The sequence below is a fragment of the Homo sapiens genome, chromosome 1, assembly GCF_000001405.40.
Source record: "Homo sapiens chromosome 1, GRCh38.p14 Primary Assembly".
NCBI lineage: Eukaryota > Metazoa > Chordata > Mammalia > Primates > Hominidae > Homo > Homo sapiens.
Genome location: NC_000001.11, coordinates 100086034 through 100109432, shown reverse-complemented (window position 1 = coordinate 100109432; position 23399 = coordinate 100086034). Strand labels below are relative to the sequence as shown.

Below are 23399 nucleotides of genomic sequence, written 5' to 3'. Positions count from 1 at the left end.
TGATTACAGGCTTCTTTGTAGCATTATATATTATTGTCATATGAATTATTAGAAAATATATGTAGATTTTGTCTATATTTAAATACCAAAGTTACCAGTGTTATTCTAGCTCACAAGACTTCAAACTCTATTTTACCAGTCTCATGCTTAGAAGCTCTAAAGCCTGACCAATTTTGTGTTCAGATCCTCATATTGTTTTGCCCCAATAATAGATGTCTTCTGTTTTTCCTGCATACACTCTTCATACTGGTTGTAAAGCATTTGAACCTTCATGGTACATTGGTAGTCTAAATGCTTCAGTATAATGCTCTGATTTCATTATTCTCAGCCCTGGAACTGGTCATTATATAAACAACCTCATTGCATTGATTTTTATATGATCTAATGAAAATATTTCCTCCAAGATTTTCATAAGACTTGCAAATTGTTAGTTCTTGGAGCTTTTTTTTTTAACTGCTGAGTATTCAGTTACCTATTTTAAGTAACAATTTTTAGGCATTAGTGTCCTAAAAATAACAATTGCTACCATTTATTGAGTTTTACTGTGTGCCAGCCAAAATGCTAGGCAATTTACGTAAGGATTTTTATGAAGGTTAAATGAAATAATTTATTAAGTATTTGTTATTTCTGTTTTACAAATGAGGGAACTGAGATTTAATTTAGGGAGTTTCAGTAATTACCAAGATCACACAGTAGAAGAGCCAGGATTTGAATTTTGTTTGATACTAAAGTTTGTGCTCCTAAAACCACTATAGTCACAATACTGTATAATTATTTTTGGAAACTTTGGTTAAGAACTAAAACTATCTAGGAATATTGTATCCTGGGCTTTCATATACCAGCAGCATTTGGGTTGATATTAGCTGATTGGGAAGAGATCTATTGTAGATTTTTTAAAAATCTATTTTTAATGAACAATTATTGTTTATTTTGCTTGAAAGAGTGAACAGAGAGATCTGGAAATGTTAACATTTATTGACATAGAAAGATATTTGTAATACGTGAAGAAGGTAGATTATAAACTGCAGAGTATCAACCTTTAAAAAACAATCTGTACATGTAAGCAACAAAGAAAAATGTTAAGTCTACATTGTGGCGGCTCTCACCCGTGGTTACCCTTGGAATCAGTTGTGGAGACATCAGAAAATTATTGTTAAAAGTTTTAAAGTTACTGTAATTTATTCATAAATTAGAATTATTTTCCCTTGATATGATTGAATCAGATAGTAGAATATTTTACAATTATATTCCAGATATATGCTACTATACCATTAGAAAGACATTTATGCTTTTAAAAAAAAATCTGTACTAAAACTTTAAAATTATTAAAGACTTTTTTTTAATATGTTAGACATCTTAATTATAAATAACCAGATGAGGCAGCTTCCTTTTTTCATAATGCTTAATTTCTTTCTTTTCCCATTCTAGGAGCTACAGCGGACTAAGCAAGAAGTCCTCTCTTTGCGAAGAGAGAATTCTACACTAGATGTTGAATGCCACGAGAAAGAAAAGCACGTTAATCAGCTACAAACAAAAGTGGCAGTTTTAGAACAGGAAATCAAGGATAAGGACCAGCTTGTTTTAAGAACAAAAGAGGCATTTGATACAATCCAGGAACAAAAGGTCTACTTTTAAATTTTTCTCAGAAATTGATAATCATATTTATAAGTAAACACAAATGCCCTAATTATTCATGTTTTTAAAAAATATATCAGGTGGTTTTAGAAGAAAATGGTGAGAAAAATCAAGTACAACTAGGAAAGCTTGAAGCTACAATAAAATCATTATCTGCAGAACTTCTGAAGGTTTGTTTTAAAAATTTTATAGACTAGTATTTCATTAAATTACATAGAAATATACATATGAAGCTCTTTTATAGGCAAATGAAATTATCAAGAAGTTACAAGGGGATCTGAAAACTTTAATGGGTAAGTTGAAATTGAAGAATACAGTTACTATTCAGCAAGAAAAACTCTTGGCTGAGAAGGAGGAAAAATTACAAAAGGAACAAAAGGAATTACAAGATGTTGGACAGTCTCTTCGAATTAAAGAGCAAGAGGTAGTTAATATTTTAAATTTTTATGTTGTAACTAAATTTTTTCCTCGTTTTAAAAATTTATGCTTTGTTACATTAACAAATGGCTTTGGTCTTGTTTTTTTTTTTAACAAAAGAACATGACTAGATTGAGTAGATGGTAATAACCTGTTTCAGTTTGGAAAGTTAGTTATCATGATTCAGATACCTTGATTGCTCATGTATGTCTATGTTTGTATACACATGTAAATATTTTATTACATAATTGAGCTAATTCCTTTATTCTCATTTAATAATAGTAGTAGTAACCATTTATGTAATTATTTAGTTAATAATAATACATTCTTCAGTTTTTATTTAACCTTTATTTTGCTTGACTTATTGTGATGATTGATATATTTCAGGTATGCAAATTACAAGAACAATTAGAAGCTACAGTTAAAAAACTTGAAGAAAGCAAACAACTTCTAAAAAATAATGAAAAGTGTAAGTATGTTACGTGTTAATGTAAATGAGGTTTGTAGTTTTATTCTTTTATTTTTTTGAGACACGGTCTCACTCTGTCACCGAGGCTGGAGTGCAGTGGCATGATCTCAGCTCACTGCAGCCTCCACCACTTTGGTTCAAGTTATCCTCCCGCCTCAGCCCCCCAAGTAGCTGGGACTAAGGTGTGCACCACCACACTCAGCTAATTTTGTGGGTTTTTTTTGTAGAGACGAGATTTTATCATGTTGCCCAGGCTGGTCTTGAACTCCTGAGCTCAAGTGATCCACCCGCCTTGGCCTCCCAGATTGCTGCGTTTAGGTTTACAGGTGTTAGCCATCGTGCTCGGCTGTAGTTTTATTCTTAACCTGAAAATTTTATTCGAATTCATAAAAGTAGACATTGGCCAATATATAAGTAATTTCTGCTTTAAATATACTGTCTTAATGCCTTTTCTATAATAAATTTATATCATCTGCCCAGTAAAAGAGTTATCATCTTTATAAAGAAAACCATATCCCATAGGTCAGTAACCCACAATTAAAACTGTTGAAAATGTTGACTGTAATTTATTGTTTAAATTCTTCATTATTCCTTTTTTTAATAGCTGTGTTTACCTAATAATAACAATATGAATTGTTTGAAAACAAAACATAAAAATAAGATTTTAACTAACATTTTCTCAGTTTATACTACTGGGTATCATACATAAGATTGTGAATTTTAAGTAAACTGTAAGATATTCTAGAAGTGAAATCTTTCAAAGAGTTGCTTGACTAGCAGAAATATGTGCTTCGGAAAGTAATACAATAAGGAGTCCTATGTGGCAGCTTCTAAAATAAGAAACTTTAATGACAAAAATTTAGGTGAACCTATATTGCTCTCCTGTGATGTCAGGTAGTTGTAAAAACTTATAATTTAAAAATCTTAATATAATTTTTAAATGTTTAAGATGATTAGAAAAATAAACAGTCAATATTCTTTACCTTGCTTCTTGTTCTTTTATTTAAGTAATCACGTGGTTAAATAAAGAACTAAATGAAAATCAGCTAGTGAGAAAGCAAGATGTATTGGGACCTTCTACTACTCCGCCTGCACATTCCAGCAGCAACACAATCAGAAGTGGAATTTCTCCTAACCTGAATGTGGTAAGATTTAAAACAAGATGTGAGTGATCTTAGTGAATTTCCTGAAACAAAAGTATTTCCAGATTGTTAGGAAGTTTCCATGATTTAAGGTGCTGATACCAATACAAAGTGGAGTCCTACAATTGCACTGAAATAGAGTTTAAGTTGCCCCTGGAAGTGGAACAAAGGCACACTTGCTCTGAACAGAGGCTGAGTTTCAAGAGCACATTTCTTTTTTTTGTTTTGTTTTGTTTTTTTTTTGAGATGGAGTCTCGCTCTGTCGCTCAGGCTGGAGTGCAGTGGCGCGATCTCGGCTCACTGCAAGCTCCGCCTCCCGGGTTCACACCATTCTCCTGCCTCAGCTTCCCAAGTAGCTGGGACTATAGGCGCCCACCACCACGCCCAGCTAATTTTTTGTATTTTTAGTAGAAACAGATTTCACCCTGTTAGCCAGGATGGTCTTGATCTCCTGACCTCATGATCTGCCTGCCTCGGCCTCCCAAAGTGTTGGGATTACAGGCGTGAGCCACCGCACCCAGCCAAGAGCACACTTCTTTATAAGTCTTGACTGGATATTGAAATCTTTCAATGCTAACTAAAGTAATACCAAATATACTGAAAAACTTGAAAACACATAACGTAAAACATTTAGGAGACTTGAAGAAGAGAGAATTCAGGGTTTAGGCTTAAGCCTAAACTGAATTCTATCAGAAAAAGAAAAGAAAGTAAAAAAGAAAAAAGTCCTATTAGCAGGCTTGTCACCTTTAGATTCTACAAGAAACTGGTTATGAGATATAAACTTTCTAGCTCCCAGGACCAGATTTTTTTCTCTTTTGAGACAAGACCTCACTCTGTTGCCGAGGCTGGAGTGCAGTGGTGGGATCATGGCTCATGGCAGCCTTGACCTCCTGGGCTCAGGCAATCCTCCCACCTCGGCCTCTCAAAGTGCCGGGATTATAGCTGTGAGCCACTGTGCCCAGCCCTGCTTTTTTTTTTTTTTTTTTAACCTGAGAAAAAAGGGAGGCTGGGCACGATGGCTCATGCCTGTAATCCCAGCACTTTGGGTGGGAGGCTGAGGTGGGTGGATCACCTGAGGTCAGGAGTTCAAGAGGTCAGCCTGGGCAACGTGGTGAAACCCTGTCTCTACTAAAAATACATAATTCAGTTGGGTGCAATGGTGCATGCCTATAATCCCAGCTACTCGGGAGACTGAGGCAGGGGAACTGCTTGAACCCAGGAGGTGGAGGTTGCCATGAGCCAAGATCGCACCACTGTACTCCAGCCTGGGCAACAGAGTGAGACTCTATCTCAAACAGAAAAAAGGCAGAATAGGAAAAGCAGCTTCTTACATTCAGAGGTGGTTTGGTACTATCTGATAGTTAGGCCTAGGTGCTGCTAGGAGCTTACCTAGCATCCGCACATAGGCCTGGGGCTCTCCTGTTGAACACAACAATTTCATGGAATATTAACATCAGGCAAGGTTACTCTGTGACTCTGTCAATACAAAAACAAGACTGTTTCATAATCATGCCTGAATACAGACAAAAATATGAACATTGCTAAATCACAGATATGGCCCATAAGCATCCTCATATCCTGGCTAACATGAATGGCTGCTGCTGCTTTAATTACAGCTTTGACCTTAATACATTCCTCTTGCTTTATTAGATAGGATTTATTCAGATACCCAGTCATACATTTATCCCCATTTCCCAGTAGCTTCCAATCCACAGCAAAGCACCACTTAAACTTTTTCTTAAATCACCTAACATGTGCCTAAATCCAATAAATAAGTCCCTTTTAATACCCACTTTTGGAGATACCCATGTTTGTTCATGGTGTGCAGTTTCCCTTGTTGCAAGGAGCAATAAATCTAGCTCGTATATCTATACATGGGTTCCTGGTGGTCCTTGGCTACAGGACATTGGCAGAAGGTTTAAAATTCAGATTCCTAATTGAATTTTTAACCTAATCTACTCTGGTAAGTCAGAGTACGGGATGTCTAAAGAAGGGGAAAGATTGCTGTTAAATTGGAGAAGGGTGCAGAAAGAAGTGCCTGGGGCTGAATTACAAACTTAAAAAAGATTTTTTGTCCGGCTTAAAATTTGAATGACTGATGATAGCTGTGTGAAAGGTGTTTTTTTGTGTGCATCCATTAGTGTGCACAAATGCTTCTCAAGATTTCTGTTACAACTGGTCTCAGTATAAAAATAAACTTTTTCATAACGTTGGTTAATGTGTGGTGCCAGTATATTGAAAATTAGTGGCAAAACCAATTACTGTCTCAATTAGTCCATTTAAGAACACTGATCTTGTTTTTATGCAGTCTGACAGAAAATTAGTTTTATTTTATCTCTGATTGGCCTATTGATCTCCAGACTCCCCCATTCCCCCCTTTTTTAGGAGACTTAGAGTGAAACAAGTTGGTTCAGAAGCTTGGCTTTAACTTAGTACAAAGGCAGGCCCAGTAGTTTGTTTTATCCAAGCTTGCACACCTACCTTGAAAAGCCCTCTAGTTCAAAGTTATCCTAGCCCCATGGTAGATAATAAAGCAGAGTTGTGTGGCATGATAAACAAGACTGGCGTCTGAGATAGTGCTCTCTTAATTATTAGTTATTATAACAGATGCTAATGCCACCTGATCAACAAATACTATTTAGAATTAATTTATCATCTTTAATCATCTTTATGTTTTTATTTTTAGGTTGATGGTAGACTGACTTACCCAACCTGTGGGATTGGTTATCCTGTCTCCTCTGCATTTGCATTCCAGAATACCTTCCCTCATTCGATATCTGCCAAAAATACCAGCCACCCTGGTTCAGGAACAAAGGTAGCCAAATTAACTAATACTTGTTCTGGGAAAAAATATAGCAACCTATTAGCATACAAACATTTCACATCTTTTAAAAGTTCATTTATTCTTTGGTCAGTTGTTAAGTAGTAGGTAGTGTATTAGATAAATACATTACTGAATATCTAGTATCTATGTGTACAGGAAATATATGCACTATATATTTCTTGAGTCACTGTAATTTCTAAAATCTTGACATCAGTCTGTTTAAACCTCACTTATTTCTACTCAACCTCTCCTTTTTTTTTTTTTTTTTTTGAGACAGTCTTGCTCGGTTGTCCAGGCTGGAGTGCAGTGGTGTAATCTCAGCTCACTGCAGCCTCTGCCTCCTGGGTTCAGTGATTCTCGTGCCTCAGCCTCCTGAGTAGCTGGGATTACAGGCATGTGCCACTACACCCAGCTAATTTTTTTGCAATTTTAGTAGAGGTGAGGTTTCGCCATGTTGGCCAGGCTGGTCTCGAACTCCTGGCCTCAAGTGATCCGCCTGCCTTGGCCTCCCAAGGTGCTGGGATTGCAGGCCTGAGCCACCACGCCCGGCCAGCCTTTCCGTTTTTATTCATTCTTCTACTTGTGTCTCCTACGCTCTCAGGCCTGGCTAGGATTTCTGACTTCATACTGTTGGAGTCTGAGCTATGATTTGGAGTCCATTGCTAGAATTTAAAGGTCTGGTAGGGCAGGCTTAAATCAAATTCTAAAATTTAGTTCTGACAGCATTATCTCAGATAAGATATGACTAGCAATCCCCCCAACCCTTGATATATTTGTTAAGGCTTTCTTCTACCTACTTCTTTTTCCTCATTTTTATTATTATCTTAGATTTATGTATTTTTTATGTATTATAATTTTGTTTTCACAATAGTTTAATCCACCCAGACCAGTCACTGCTTTTATTTTCATTGCTAACTTCAGATCCAGGTTTATTTTTTCTTAAATAATGAGACAAATAAACATTTATGAAAAAATATTGTATAAAAGATAAAATTGAGGACTTTGAAACTGGTATTACAAACTCTATCAAATTAGGTCTGGGCTACTCTAAAAATAAGTTGGCTGTGTTGCTTAGGCATGTGCTCTTTTTAGCCATAGCCTTATTATTGCCAGTAGCTATGGAGAATTCTCAGTTAAATGAAAATTAAGCCTGAGTTTTTATGCCTGGAATACTGTTATGTAAAGAGTACTTAGATGCATATAACTGGCTCTTCTTGCATTGCTTATTAAGGAGAATTAGATATGTGCATTCGAAGGAATGTCTATTGTTTTATTATCAGTTTCAGTATACTCAAGTGTCGTTGTATCTTGGGATCATTTTTTTTCTTTAGAATTATAAGTGAATTCACAGTTGTTTTTTATTTAAACAACTTTCCAGGAATATATATATAATGTCCAAAATGAGGACAAGTACTACTAGAGACAGTTGCCTACTTGGTAGGACTAAAGATGGCTTATAAAATAATACTATCATTCTTATAGGTCTTGTGGAATCAGAGGAATCATTATAATAATTATGTTCTTAAATACAGGAGCAAGACTTTCAGTGTTTCCTGTATCGGTGATCTCCATATTCTTTTAATTATGTATCCCTAACAGGGAAAAAAAAAAACCCTAAAACAGAACAATTTGCGCTCTCATCTCAAATACATTAATGTGTATTTATTTGTGAATTTATGCATATACTACTGAAATACTATATGCCGTATAATTATTGGTTAAGAAGGCGGAATCTGATGTTAGGATTTAAAACCTGCCTCTATCAACCTGAAGTTGATCAAGCCACTGAAAAACAAACAACATTCAACTCTTACACTTCAGTTTTCCCACTTATAAAATGGAGTGATAATTTTCTCTACCTTACTGGATTATTGAGTTAAGTGAATTAATGCATTTGCTTAGAATAGTACCTGGTTCATGATAAGTGCTCTGTAAATGTTATATTATTAATAATAAAATATATTCAAAAATAGAAATTAAAGAATCAGACTAAAAATGGATGTAAATGAAAGTTGTAAGATTTTCTTCTCAGACCTCAGTGAATGGTCCTAATTACTGCCTACTTTGTCCTCCCCGACTCAAAGACCCACTTTAAAGCACCAAATACCACCTACTTTGGTGATCATTGATCTAGGTAGTTTTGTGCTAGCAGCTATGTTGATTAAAACATGTACTTTTGAATTACAGTTTTTAAAAATGACGCTTTTATTTTTGACGTTGAACCTGTGATCTTCCTGATGTCTTAAAATGTTACTGTCAAGATTGAATACATTCAAGGATGTTTAACTGTGGGAATGTAAAATAACATGAGAAATTTGGCAAGAAACAAAATAATGCTGAAAGAATATGTGAGAATATTTAACAAGATTGTGCTGTTCTGACAAATAGAACAAATACTTGATAATTTTAAAGCAAGATACACAAAACTACGTGTTTTTTCTCTTTTATTTTTGGATACAATGATAGCCAAAGATTCATTCATTGAACAAGTATTTAATGAATGTCTGTTATCTGCTGTGGCCAGGCATAGTTTTAGTTGCAGGAGATGACAGCAGTGAACAAGACAAATGCCCTGACACTATGGTGCTTACATTTTGTGGTGAAACACCAGTAGATAGTAAATTGTAATGTCTTTCAAACTAAACTGTTTATTCATTCATTCATTTATTCATTTATTTTTGTGACAGAGTCTCACTCTGTCACCAAGGCTAGAGTGCAGTGGCATGATCTTAGCTCACTGCAACCTCCACCTCCCAGGTTCAAGCGATTCTCATGCCTCAGCCTCCCGAGTAGCTGAGATTACAGGTGTGCAGCACCACACCTGGCTAATTTTTGTATTTTTAGTAGAGACGGGGTTTCACCATGTTGGTCAGGCTGATCTCTAACTCCTGACCTCAAGTGATCCACCTGCCTCGGCCTCCCAAGTGGTGGGATTACAGGCATGAGCCTCTGTGCCTGGCTTGGGTTACATTCTTGATCTTCAAGGTCAAACTTTCATCAAGGAGATTATGAAGTATGTGAGGGATTTTCTGCAGTGAGGAACGGGCCAGATGATTGATTTATCTTTTTTCTTTTAATCTGGTTGAAAGGCTTAGGGAGACAATTCTGTTTACTGTTAAGGACCAAAAAACAAAGTCTGGAAATGCCGTACACAATGGTCATGAACTACAAAATAGTAGTGGAGTGGAGAGGAGACACAGTAATACACAGCATTATTTTGAGTGAGCTCCAGCTTTTCATTCTAACCCTTGAACCGAGGAGAAACAGCTGTCCTTTTTCATTGAGTCTGCAACAGAATGGAAATGTGACTCAGTTTATCAGCTCCCACAGAGCAGGCAGAGTAAGAGACTATTTTAAGCTGGTTTGGGGAGCCCCTATCCCAAGCATAGAGTGGATGTTGAAGGTTGTTCCCGGCATCCACTGGTGGTGGCTTGTGGCTAGTCCTGGGCTCCCTGGGTCCTAGGCATCTCTTGATTCTCAGTAATGAACTTGTCAGTTGGCCAATGTGGACCTGTTGACAAATTACTCTGAATTACTGTAAGGTCTCTTTTGGCTTTATTCTCTAGGGTTTGAGTTTCTACAGGAACGTTTACATTTTTATTTTCTCGGAAGGAATCTCTTATCCTCCTGACACTGTAATTGTAGGTGCTGAAATGCTTGTTTTCTGTCAGTGTCATCCAGTACAGATCTCTAACATTTGTGTGTGACTGGAGGTGCCCCAAGGCCCTGTTGCCTCAATTTCTTTATCTTGGTAGTGTTTGGCCCACAGTGTGTATTCAGAGACAGATTTTGTGTACAGATAGCATTATTCAGTTGGGTTAACCATCTGATTCACCTAGATGGTTTAAATTAATTTTTCATTTATTTGGTATTAACTTTTTAAAAATAATGTGTAAGTATGGGAAGCTTTGAAAGGTACAAGAGGATGTACTATCTAAAAGTCCCTACTGTGGTCCCCAGTCCTCTTAGAGAAAAATACTGTTAGGAATTTCTTATGATATATTCCAGAAATATTCAGAGCATGTATTAGACCATATGTATGTGCATGTATATGTATATGTGTTCAAATATATGAGTGTTTTTATATATAAACATAAATAGTACTTGCCAATTGTTCTGCGCCTTGCTTTTTTCATTTAATGGTATTATGGAATAGGTAACTGCAGTGTATCAGAATATAAGTTTTTGTTTCTTTTTAATGACTTCATAGTATTCCAGTATACGGATGTACTATAATTAACTAATACTCTATTTATGGATGAGTAGGTTTTTTTCAATCCAGATGCTCATACAGTGCTCCAGCAAATATTTTTGTGCATACATCTCGGTGGCCTGGTACTAATAGATTTATAGGTTACATTGTTAGAAGTAACTGTGTCAAAGGCATTTTTGCATAACTGGTGACTAAAATAGTATCTTATTGTAATGTTAATTAACATTTTCTTGATTAAAGTGAGAAACATCTTTTTATATATTTGTAGGTTATGTTTCCTGTTCTGTAAAACTCCTGTTTATTCATTTTTTGTTTTCCATTTGTTTGTTTTAGAGATGGAAATCTCCCTGTGTTGCCCAGGCTGGCTTCGAATTTCTGGGCTCACCTGATCCTCCTGGCTCAGCCTCCTGAGTAGCTGAGACTACAGGCATGCACCATTGTGCCTGGCTCTTTCTTTTATTCGTTTTTTTTTGTTTGGGAGGTTTAACATTTATAAAATGGTTTTATAAGTGTTCTTTACATATTCTGGACGCTAGTTTGCCGTTGTTTTTAATGTGTTATTTTGTAATTTTTGGTTTGTTTTTATTCTTCATTATACTTCCTTTTTAAAAATTTAAAGGTTATTAAGGTAGAATTTACATACCATAAAATCCTTCCACTTTAAGATTAGTTCAATAATTTTAGTCAGCTTATAGAGTTGTGAAGCTATACCACAGTTCAATATTAGAACATTTACATTACCCTAAAAGTACCCTAGTGCCTGTTTGCAGTTTATCCTTACTCCTCCTTCTAGCCCTAGGCAACTACTGATCAGCTGTCACTATAAAATTTGCTTTTCCAAGTTTCATATGAGTAGAATCATACAACATGTAGTTTTTTTGTGTGTCTTTCTTCTTTTTTTTTGAGATAAAATCTCATTCTGTCATCCAGGATAGAGTGCAGTGGCACGATCATGGCTTATTGCAGCCTCGACCTCCCTGGGCTCAGGTGATCCTCCTATCTTAGCCTCCTGAGTAGCTGGGACTACAGGTGTGTGCCACCATGCCCAGGTACCTTTTTTTGCATTTTTTTGTAGAGATGGAGTTTCACCATGTTGCTCAGGGTGATTTCGAATTCCTGGGCTCAAGGTATCTGCCTGCCTCAGCCTCCCAAAGTGCTGGAATTACAGGCGTGAGCCACCATGCCTGGCCCATATCTTTCCTTTTCACTCAGTATACTGTGTTTGAGGTTCATCCAGGCTGTAATGTGTGTCAGTAGTTCTTTTCTTTTAATTGCTCAGTAGTATTTCATTGTATTGATATGCCACAATTTGTTCATTCATCAGTTGATGGACATTTGAGTTGTTTTAAGTTTTTGGATGTTACAGATTAAGCTGCTGTGAACATATGTGTACAAGTCTTTGTATTTATTGTGGGTGAGTACCCAGGAATGGAATGGCTGGTGGCATATGTTTGATTTTTAAGAAATTACCAAACTTTTCCAAAGTGTTTTTACAATTTACCACCAGCAGTCTGAGAGTTCAAGTTGTTCTGCATCCTTCCAACAGTTGGTATAGTCAGTTGTATAGCCATTCTAATACATGCATAGAAGTACCTCATTGTGATTTTATTTATTTATTGAGACAGTGTCTTGCTCTGTTGCCCAGGCTGGAGTGCAGTGGTGCAATCTCAGCTCACTACAACCTCCACCTTCAGGGTTCAAGCAATTCTCATGCCTCAGCCTCCCGAGTAGCTGGGGTTACAAGTGCACGCCACCACGTCCAGCTAATTTTTGTATTTTTTAGTAGAGACAGGGTTCACCATGTTGGCCAGGCTGGTTTTGAACTCCTGACTTCAAGTGATCCCCTACCTCGGCCTCTCAAAGTGCTGGGATTACAGGCATCAGCCACCACACCTGGCCCCTCATTGTGATTTTAGTTTGCATTTCCCTAAAACCTAATGAGGTTGAGTATCTCTATTCATGTGCTTATTTAACATCAATATTAAAATACCACTTTGGTGATATTTCTATTTGAATCTTTTGACCATTGCTAAACAAGGTTGTCTTTTTATTGAATTATAAGTTCTTTGTATATTCTGGATACAAGTCCTTTATCAAGTATATGATTAGCAAATATTTTCTCCCAGTGGCTTCCCTTTTCATTTTCTCAATGTGTCTTTTGAAATACAAAAGTTTTTAATATTTGATGGAGTGCAATTTATCAAACTTTTTTCTTTTGTGGATCTTGCTTTTGGAGTTGTATATAAGAACTCTGTCCAACCACAGGTTGAAAACATTTTCTCCTTTGTTTTCTTCTACAACTTTTATAGTTTTAGTTGTTACATTTAGATCTGTGATCCATTTTGAAATAATTTGTGTGCATGGCTTGAAGTAAGGATCTAAGTTCATTTTTCCCCCCTGCTCTGAATATCCAGTTCTTAGTACCATTTATGAAAAGTCTTTTTCTCTGTTGAATTGTCTAAGCACCTTTGTTGAAAATCAGTTGACCATGTAAGGATTTATTTCAGGATTCTCAATTCTGTTTCATTGATTTTTATGCCTATCCTGTGCCAGTGTCACAGCATCTTAATCACTATGACTTTATATTAAAAGTTTTGAAAGTCAGTAGTATAAATCTACAGACTCTATTCTTCCTTTTCAAAATTGTTTTAGATCTTTTACAGTTTCATGAAAATGGTCACCTTCTCAATTTCTACAAAATGGTTTGTTTGGATTTTGATAGGTATATAAGGAATTTATAGGTCAGTTTTCAAAGAAATGCTGTTTTGGCAGTATTGTGTCTTCCAATCCATGAATATTAAGAGTCTTTCCATTTATTTAGAGCTTTACTTTCTCTCAGTAATGTTTTGCAGTTTTCAATATATAAGTCTTGAATTTCTTCTGTTGAATTTATTCTTAAGTGTTTTATTCTTTTAGATGCTATTGTGGGTATAATTATTTTATTTTTCAGAATATTCATTGATGTGTAGAAATGTATGTCATTTTTGTATGTTGATCTTGTATCTTGAAACCTTGCTAAACTCATTTATTATACTCATTAGTGGTTTTTGGTAAATTCTGTTGGATTTTCCACATAGACAGTTATGTCATCTGAAAATAATGACAGCTTCCTTTCCAATGTGGTTGCTTTTTATTTATTTTTCTTGCCTTATTGTAATGGCTAGAACCGATAGTACAATTTATTTTTATTTATTTATTTTTTGAGACAGAGTCTTAGTGTCACCTAGCCTGGAGTGCAGTGGCACATTCTTGGCTCACTGCAACTTCTGTCTCCCAGGCTCAGGTGATCATCCTACCTCAGCCTCCCTAGTAACTGGGACCACAAGTGCATGCCACCATACCCCCAGCTAATTTTTTGTAATTTTGGTAGAGACAGGGTTTTGCCATGTTGCCCAGGCTGGTCTTGAGCTCCTGAGCTCAAGTGATCCACCTGCCACAGCCTCCAAAAAAGTGCTGGGATTACAGGTGTAGGCCACTGCACCCAGCCTATAGTGCAGTTTAAATAAATGTGAGAGCAGACATTCTGGCCTTGTTCCTGAGCTTCAGGGCAGAGCATTCAGTCTTTCATCATAAGCATATTAGCTGTAGGTTTTTGCTAGGTGGCCATTTTTCAGAATAAGGGAGTTTTATTCTATTCCTAGTTTGCTAAGAGCTTTTATCATGAATGGTTGTTAAATTTTGTCAAATGCTTTTTCAATTGATATGGTCATGTGGCTTATCTTTTATCAGTTAACAGATTGTATTGATTGTTTAAGATTATATTAGCCTTTCATTCTTGGGATAAACTTCACTTGGTCATGGTGTATTCTTTTTATATATCGCTGGAGTTAATTTACTTTTTGTTTCTTTTTCTTTTTTTTTTTTTTGGAGACAGAGTCTCTCTCTGTTGCCCTGGCTGGAGTGCAGTAGTGTGATCTCGGCTCCCTGCAACCTCTGCCTCCTGGGTTCCAGCGATTCTTCTGCCGCAGCCTCCCGAGTAGCTGGGACTACAGGTGCCTGTCACTGCACCAGCTAATTTTTGTATTTTTAATAGAGACACGGTTTCGCCCTGTTGGCTAGGCTAGTCTTGAACTTCTGAGCTCAAGGTCAGAGGTGGGTGATCCGCCCACCTCGGCCTCCCAAAGTGCTGGGATTACAGGCGTGTGAGCCCCAACACCCAGCTTGGAGTTAATTTTCTGATAGTTTGATTTTGTGTCCATGTTCATAAAGCATATTGGCCTGTAGTTTACTTTTCATGTACTGTCTTTAACAAATTTAAATCAGGACAATACTGGCCTCATAAAATGAACAGGAAACTGTCTTTTCTCTTTTATTTTCTGGCATATATTGTATAGAGTTGCTTTATATTTTCTTTAAATGTTTGGTAGAATTTTCCAGTGAAATCATCTGGGTCTGGAAATTTTTTTGCCGGAGGCTTTTTTCAGCTGTGAATTAATTTTTTTCAATACCTATAGAATGTTTGGGTTATTTATTTCTTCTTAGGCCAGTTTCGATAGTTTGTGACTTTCACAGGATTAAATCATTTAATCTAAATTTTAAGCTATGTGCGAAGAGTTGTTTTTAGTATTCCATTATTTTTAATGTCTATAGACTCTGCTGTAACATCCTCTCTTTCATTACTTATAATGGTGATTTTTGCCTTGTCTCTTTGAAAAATCAGTTTGGTAAGAGTTACCAGTTTCATGGATCTTTTCAAGGAACCGGCTTATGGTTTCATTGGTTTTTCAATTTACTGATTTCTCCATTTTAATATTTTTTCCCTTCTAACTGCCTTGAGTTTGTTTGGCTCCTTTTCTTACTTTCTTAAGGTAGAAGATTATGTTCTGATTTAAGAGTTCTATGTTAATCTAAACATTTAATGCTATACATGTTGTTCAGTCTTGCTTTAACTGCATTTCACAAATTTTGGTATTTGTATTTTCATTTTCATTAAGTTTAAAATATTTTTTTTTCTTTTTCTTTTCTTGTTTTTGAGACAGGGTCACACTGTGTCCCCCAGACTGGAGTACAGTGGCATGATCGCAGCTCCTTGCAGCCTCACCTCCTGGGTTTATGTGATTCTCCCACCTTAGCCTCCTGAGTAGCTGGGACTACAGGTGCACACCACCACACCTGCCTAATTTTCGTATTTTTTTGTAGAGACAGGGTTTTGCCATGTTTCCCAGGCCAATCTCAAACTCCTGGGCTCAAGTGATCTGCCTGCCTTGGCCTCCCAAAGTGTGGGGATTACAGGCATGAGCCACCACGCCCAGCCCTATTCTTTTCAAGTACACATGGAACACTAACCAAGATAGACTACGTCCTAAGTCCTAAACCAGTCTGGAATTAAACTAGAAATCTATAACAGAAAGATATGTGGAAGATTTGAGGGAAATTAGAAAATATTTTGGCCAGGTGTGGTCACACACACCTGTGGTCCCAGCTGTTGGGGAGGCTGAGGTGGGAGGATCACCTGAGCCCAGGATGTGGAGGTGGCAGTGAGCTGTGTTTGCACCACTCTGCTCTGTCCTGGGCAATAGAGTGAGAGGTCTCACAAAAAAAAAAAAAAAAAAAAAAAAGAAAACAATAGGTATTCTGTTTTTGTTGGGATAATGTTCTTTAAATATATCTCTTTGTATTATTTTTATTTTAGTGGTTGCTCCAGGCATTATAATATACATACTTTTCGTAGTGTGTAGAATTAATATCTTACCACTTAAAGTACAATATACATACCTTGCCACCATACAGTCCCTTTGCCTTTTCCCCCCTTATGTTTTCATATTTCGTATGTATTGTATCTGCATACATTGGAGACATTATCAGACAATCTATAATTTTTGCTATCCTCCATTATACATATTTAAAACTCTGGAGTGGGCTGGGTGTGGTCCCTTACGCCTGTAATCCAAGCACTTTGGGAGGCCGAGGCACGTGGATCACAAGGTCAGGAGATCGAGACCATCCTGGCTAAAGCAGTGAAACCCTGTCTCTACTAAAAATACAAAAAATTAGCTGGGCATGGTGGTGGGCGCCTGTAGTGTCAGCTACTCGGGAGGCTAAGGCAGAAGAATCACTTGAACTCGGGAGGCGGAGGTTGCAGCGAGCCGAGATTGCGCCTCTGCACTCTAGCCTGGGTGACAGAGCGAGACTCCATCTCAAAAACAAACAAACAAAAAAACACAAAAAAACTCTGGAGTGGAGAAGACTAGTTCGTTATATTACCCAGTGTTTACCATTTCTGTTCTTCTTGTTCTTTTCCTTCATTCCTGGTATTCTAAGTTCTTCTACAGTATAATTTCCCTGAATGATAGAACATTCATTAGCATTTCTTTTAGAGGAAGTCTTCTGTCAATTCTTTTTCTTCCCCTGGGAATGCCTTTCTTTTACCTTTCCCAAATGATATTTTCTCTTGATACATAATTCTGTATTCATAATCCTTTTCCTTAAGCATTTTAAAACTGTTGTTCTGCCTCTTTTAGGATTCCATGATTTCCAATGAGAAATTAGCAGTAAATTTGAATCGTTCTCCTATAACTAGTGCATCATTTTCTCTGCCTGCTTTTAATATATATATATATTTTTAGTTTTTCACAGTTTAACAATGATGTGTCTGGGCATGGATTTTGAACTTATTTGACTTTATCCTTTTGGGGGTTTACTAAGCTTGGTGAACCTTTTCCCAAATTTTTGAAGTATTCAGCCATTATTTCTTCAATTTTTTTTTTTTTTTTTTTTTTTTTTTTGAGACAGGGTCTCGCTTTGTAGCTCAGGCTGGAGTACAGTGGTGTGAACAGAACTTGTGGCAGCCTTGACCTCCCAGGATCAAGCATTCCTCCCACCTCAGCCTCCCATGTAGTCAAATATTTTTTTCTGCAGAACACTCTTCTTTCTTTTAGGACTCAAAAGACATGAATATAAATCTTTATTTTCCTAAAGGTCCACAACCTTCTGTTCTTTTCTTCCATTCTTATTTTTTCTGTTTTTCAGATTTGATTATTTCTATTGATCCGCCTTCAAGTTTACTGTTTTCTCTGTCCATTCTACTATCAAGCCCATTCAGCGGTTTTTTTCTGTTCTAAAATTTCCATTTCGTTTTCTTTCCTTTTTTTTTTTTTTTTTTAATGAGACTTTTTTACATTCATTTGAACAGTGTTATTAGAGCACGGTTATAATGGGTGATTTGAAGTGGTTTTTCTGATAATTCCAGTATTTGTGTCATCTTGGGGTTGACTTCTTCTGGTTTAACTTTTCCCTTATGAGTTGCTTACATTTCCCTAGTACTCTATTGAGTGATTTTGGATTGTATCCTGGACATTAGAATATTATGAGATCCCAGATTTTGTTTAAATCCTGAGGAGAATGTGATTTTTTTTTAAGCAAACAATCAGTCTTGTTAGGTTCAAGTTCTGATTAGCCTTCTTTAGGTTGTGATTCTTAAGTCAGTTCAATTTTTTTCAAAAGAGTTTCACTCTGTTGCCCAGGCTGGAGGATAGTGGTGCAATCTCAGCTCACTGCAATTCTGGGTTCAAGCAATTCTTGTGCCTCAGCCTTCCGAATAGCTGGGATTACAGATGTGCACCACCACCCCCAGTTAATTTTTGTATTTTTAGTAGAGATGGGGTTTCACCATGTTGGTCAGGCTGGTCTCAAACTTCTGGCCTCATGTGATTGACCCACCTCAGCCTCCCAAAATGCTGGGATCACATGCGTGAGCCACCATGCCTGGCTGTCAGTTCAAATTTTAAAGACTTTGTCATGTCATGCTGTTTGGATCTGTCTCAAGTGTGCTATTCTGTGACCTTGGCAGTAGTTTACCCCATAGTTCGGTTCCCAAAGCCTTTGGTATGCTGATTAGGGTCAGATTCGTACAGCTCATAAGTGAGCCTAAGAGTTTATATACCACTTTATAGGATTTCTCCCTTGAGTTTTCTCTCCATGATTTCCTCAGAATTTTCTGTGCCCTTAGGGTCCCCCTTCCTGGTCTTCTGGCTAGAAAATATAGGCCTAGGTTTCCTTTCCGTGCTATGCAGTTCCTGTAATTGTATCTCCATCTGTTATCAAGCAGCAAGAGGACAAAGAGAGTAGAAAAGTAGGGAAGATGTTTCCCCTGTTAATGAGGCCACAGTGCCTTTGGTAGGAAAATATGATTCCCCTCCTTCAAAGTTTTAGTTATCGCCTCGCCACTGTTGCTGTCACCATTACCTCTGGCACTTCTGCTTCCATATAGTAGCCTGGGAGTTGGAGCAGGAAAGAACACAGGGAAAAATGAAAAGAAAGGGATTTTCCTCCCTCTCTTTGACGCTTAGGAGTTTCTTTTTTCATATCTCAGCAGAAAAATAAATCTACCTTGATATTAATATTATATTCTGGCTCTCTTATGCCTAGTATTTACATGAAGTATCATTTTCTATTTTTTTATTTTCCAGCCTGTGTCTTTAAATGTGATTTCTTTTAGATATTTATAATTGACTCATTTGAATCCATTCTGACATTCTGGCTTAAATAATTTAAAATGTAATGCATATAATAAGTTTTACCATATTATGATTTGTTTTCTATATGTCCTGTTTCTTGCCTCCCTTTTCTGTTTTTCCTGCCTTCTTTCCAGTTAGTTTTGTGCATTTTATTTCATTTTTCATTTTATATTTACTCTTGGCTTTCTTTTATTTTCTTTGTGTTTACTCTAGTTTATAATATACAATTTCATCATCTACTTTCAAATATTATTATACTACTTCCCATGTAAAATAAGACTGTTACAATAATATACTTCCATTTCTTCCCTTCTTTTTGCTACTGTTGTCAAAATTTTACTTGTATCTTTGTTATAAGCTCTACTTTTTTTTTTTCTTTAAACAATCAAGTATATTTAAAAGACATTAAGCAATGAAGAAAAATCTCCTTGGTTAACCCATACATTACTATTTACACACTTTTTTCCTTTATGTAGATCTAAATTTTCATCTGGTATTATTTTCCTTTCTCCTCAATAACTAAGATCTCTTATAGTACAGGTTTTTAAGGCTTCTTACAATGCAGGTCTGTGAGGAATTAATTCTTCTTTTGTCTTATAATGTTGTTATTTTGACTTCATTTTCTCTGAATATAGAACTTTAGGTTGGCAAGTTTTTTTCCTATCTGTATTTTGAAGATGTTATTCCGTTGTTGCCTGGATTGAATACTTTCTGGCAAGATGTCAGTAGTCATGTTTATATATAATGTTTCCTTTATATAAAGTGACCTTTTTCTCTGGGTGCTTTTAAATTTTCTCTTTATCATTCATTTTCAACAAGTTAATTATGCCTTGGTGTGGAGTTTGTGTATTATTGTTTAATTGGGGTTTTCATGAAGTTTTTAAATAGGTGGGTTTGTAGTTTTTATCAGTTTAGGAAATTCTAGTCATTATTCACATTTCTTTTTCTGTTTTGTTCTCTTTTTTGGTGTTCCTCCTTGGTACTCCAATTATACGTGGTTGATTACATGATACTTTCCCAGGGAGACTTAGTTTATTTCATTATTATTTATTTCATTTTATGTAGATTCTGATGCTGTGTCTTAAAGTTTATTAGTCTTTTCTTACTGCAGTGTATAATTTGCTGTTAATTTATTCAGTGAGAAATTTTCATTTTATATATTGACTATTTTATGTCTGGAATTTTCTTTTCACTCTTTTTTATATCTTCAATTTTCTCATACTTTTTATTTCCATTAAGTTCTTACACAATTACATTTGTGTCCCTGGTCTATAATTTCTACCATTTCTGAATCTGTTTCTGTTGGCTAATTTTTCTTCTGAGTATGACATCTTATTGTTGTCTTTGTAATTTTTGATAAGTGGAGCATTGTGAGTGTTACATTGTTGATTGTCTGGATTTTATATTTCTTTAAAGCATGGCAGGCTTTTTTTTTTTTTTTATAGACAGGGTCTTGCTCTGTTGCCCAGTCTAGAGTGCAGTGATGTGATCATAACTCACTGTAACCCCAAACTCCAGGGCTTAAGTGATCCTCCTACCTCTCATATATCTGGGACTACAGGTGTGCACTACCACACTGCTGGAATTACAGGCGTGAGCCACCACACTTAGCCAAAGCCTGTATTTTTATGGTGTAGATTTATCAGAAAACAAATTTAACCACCCATCTCAATATAGAACTAATTCACCCCGGTAATGGTGGCTCATCCCTGTAATCCCATGATTTTGGGAGGCTGAGACGGGAGGATCACTTGAGCCGAGGAGTTTGAGACCAGCGTGGGCAACACAGTGAAACCCCGTCTCTACAAGAAATAAAAAATTAGCCAGACTTCGTGGCGTGTACCTGTAGTCTCAGCTAGTTGGAAGGATGAGGTGGGAGGATCGCTTGAGCCCAGGAGATTGGGACTGCAGTGAACCGTGATTATGCCACTTTACTCCAGCTTAAGCAACAGAGCAAGGCTCTGTTTAAAATCCCCCCTCTGCCCAAAACTGTCTACTTCTATATAACTCAGTTACATGAGATGTTTTTCCTTCTCACAGGTTCAGTTTAATTTGCAGTTTACAAAACCAAATGCATCACTAGGAGATGTTCAGTCAGGAGCAACTATTAGTATGCCTTGCTCAACTGATAAGGAAAAGTAAGTGCTTAATGACATAAAATTTAATGTTTGCAATTTTGAAGGCCATCTTACAGAATTTTTATCAGTGCTTGAGAGCTGTGATGCCCACCTGTTTACCTGAGACATTTCAAGTTACTGATCATTGGAATTTAAGTTGAATTACTCTTAGCTATAAAAAAGAGATTTCTCATACTTTTTTCTGTTTCCTCCTCCAACAATCTACTCATTATTTTTTAATGTGGGATGTGCTTAGATAGTAAAATTTCGTTTGTTGAAAGAGATTTTCCTACATAACTGAAGACTGGGCTTTCAAATATTCTCAGACATATTCATAGAAATTTTTAAAAATTCCTCATGGTCAGCTGTTTTTGTTTTCTTATATGGCTATGTCTGTCCCTGGAAGCTCTCCATTTTTCTGATTTATTGCTTTCAGTATAATCTAATCTAAAATACCAGCTAGTTAATATGCTAGAAATATACAGAGAATGAGTAAAAAGGTTTGTGAGATTTTCCCATAGATAACAAAAATAAGCTTTAATGCCATTTTGCGACTTCCATTCCCTGTTTTTTAAACAGGGTTTACATAGTGAAGTCTGTTGATTCAATGACTTGTGGTTAAATCAAACCACTCATACAGGCAAACTTTTCTCTCTGGATAGACTTCATGTTTGTAATTTATTACTACTAATATAGTTATTTATTAAATTTAATGGCTTTAAGGCCTGTCTGCTGATACTCATTATCATGAGCTATCACCATCCTAGTTCTACATTACAAACTAAATTACTAACATAGCTCAAAGAGGGTTCTTATCCCCAGCTCTCTAGCTTTTATTCATTGGATCATGATGTGTTAAAATAATTAAAATGTTTGTGGCTGGTCACAGTGGCTCATGCCTGTAATCCCAACACTTTGGGAGGCCAAGGTGGGTGGATCACTTGAGGCCGGGAGTTCCAAGACCAGCCTGGCCAACATGGTGAAACTCCATCTCTACGAAAAATACAAAAATTAACCGGGCGTGGTGGGCACGTGTAATCTCAGTTACTCAGGAGGCTGAAGCATGAGAATCGCTTCAACCCAGGAGGCAAGAAGTTGCAGTGAGCCGATATTGTGCCACTGTGCTCCAGCCTGGGCGATAAGAGCAAGACTCTGTCTCAAATAAAATAAATAGAAAAAATAATGTAAAAAAGTTAATATTTGTGAGCCTCCATTTTTAAAAAAGATCAAAATTCACTTGTTCACAAGGGAGAGCACCTTGAATTCCTGTTAATGGTAGAATATCATAATGTTTGATATATTTAATTCATCATAGGCCAGGCATAGTGACATACACCTGTAGTCCCAGCTACATGGGAGGCTGAGGCAGGAGGATCACTTGAGTCTGGGAGGTCAAGACTGCAGTGAGCCATGATCCTGCCACTGCACTCCAGCCTGGGTGATAGAGTGGGGCCCTGCCTCAAAAGGAAAAAAACCAAAAAAAAAGCCAGACATGGTGGTACATGCTTGTAGTTCCAGCTGCTTGGGAGGCTGAGGGATCACTTGAGCCTGGGAGTTGGAGTCTGTAGTAAGCTATGATCAGTCACATCACTGCACTCCAAACTGGGCCTCAAAACGAGAACCTGTCTCAAAAAAAAAAAAAAAAATCAAATCATTATAGACAGAGCAATTTTACTAGCAGAAAATATGACAATCGTATTTGTAGTATGAAGTCAAACATATCCATCTGTCCATAAAATTAGGACTGTTCAGTGATTTTGAGTTTTTTCTGGTTCTTTTATTTGTCAGCTAGCAAAAAGTGGCACCGGGTATCAAACTTTAAAGAAAAAAATAAAATAGAAAAAAAGTCTGTTCACCCACTTATTTCTGAAAATTGGGTCAAGAGCAACCATCATTTAATTTTAAGGATTGATTTATTCTCATTGTTTTGCAAGAGCCTTTAACTTCTTATTACAAGTAATACTAGGGAAACCGTTAACACTGGATGTATTTAGAAAGGATGGCAGTGGTAGAAAGGGGAAACACAGAAATGCCCTTCTTTCTCCCCCAGATTTTCTCATTTGTATTAATTTGATCAGAATTTATTGTGTAATGTGTGTTAATACTTGATCATGACTACTTTGAAG

The 23399-nt window shown here is 36.5% G+C and overlaps 1 protein-coding gene across 6 annotated transcripts in view; it reads left to right on the top strand.

The window, feature by feature from the left end:
- The window catches only part of SASS6 (SAS-6 centriolar assembly protein), a 49361-nt gene that overhangs the window by 23498 nt on the left and 2464 nt on the right, over positions 1 to 23399 (top strand). For all 6 annotated transcript variants that reach the window (NM_001304829.2, NM_194292.3, XM_047447889.1 and 3 more), the window contains 7 exons: positions 1429 to 1623; positions 1716 to 1805; positions 1880 to 2059; positions 2440 to 2521; positions 3530 to 3666; positions 6350 to 6478; positions 21197 to 21294. In NM_001304829.2, the coding sequence (NP_001291758.1) occupies positions 1429 to 1623; positions 1716 to 1805; positions 1880 to 2059; positions 2440 to 2521; positions 3530 to 3666; positions 6350 to 6478; positions 21197 to 21294 (911 nt within the window). The remainder of the gene's footprint in view (positions 1 to 1428; positions 1624 to 1715; positions 1806 to 1879; positions 2060 to 2439; positions 2522 to 3529; positions 3667 to 6349; positions 6479 to 21196; positions 21295 to 23399) is intronic.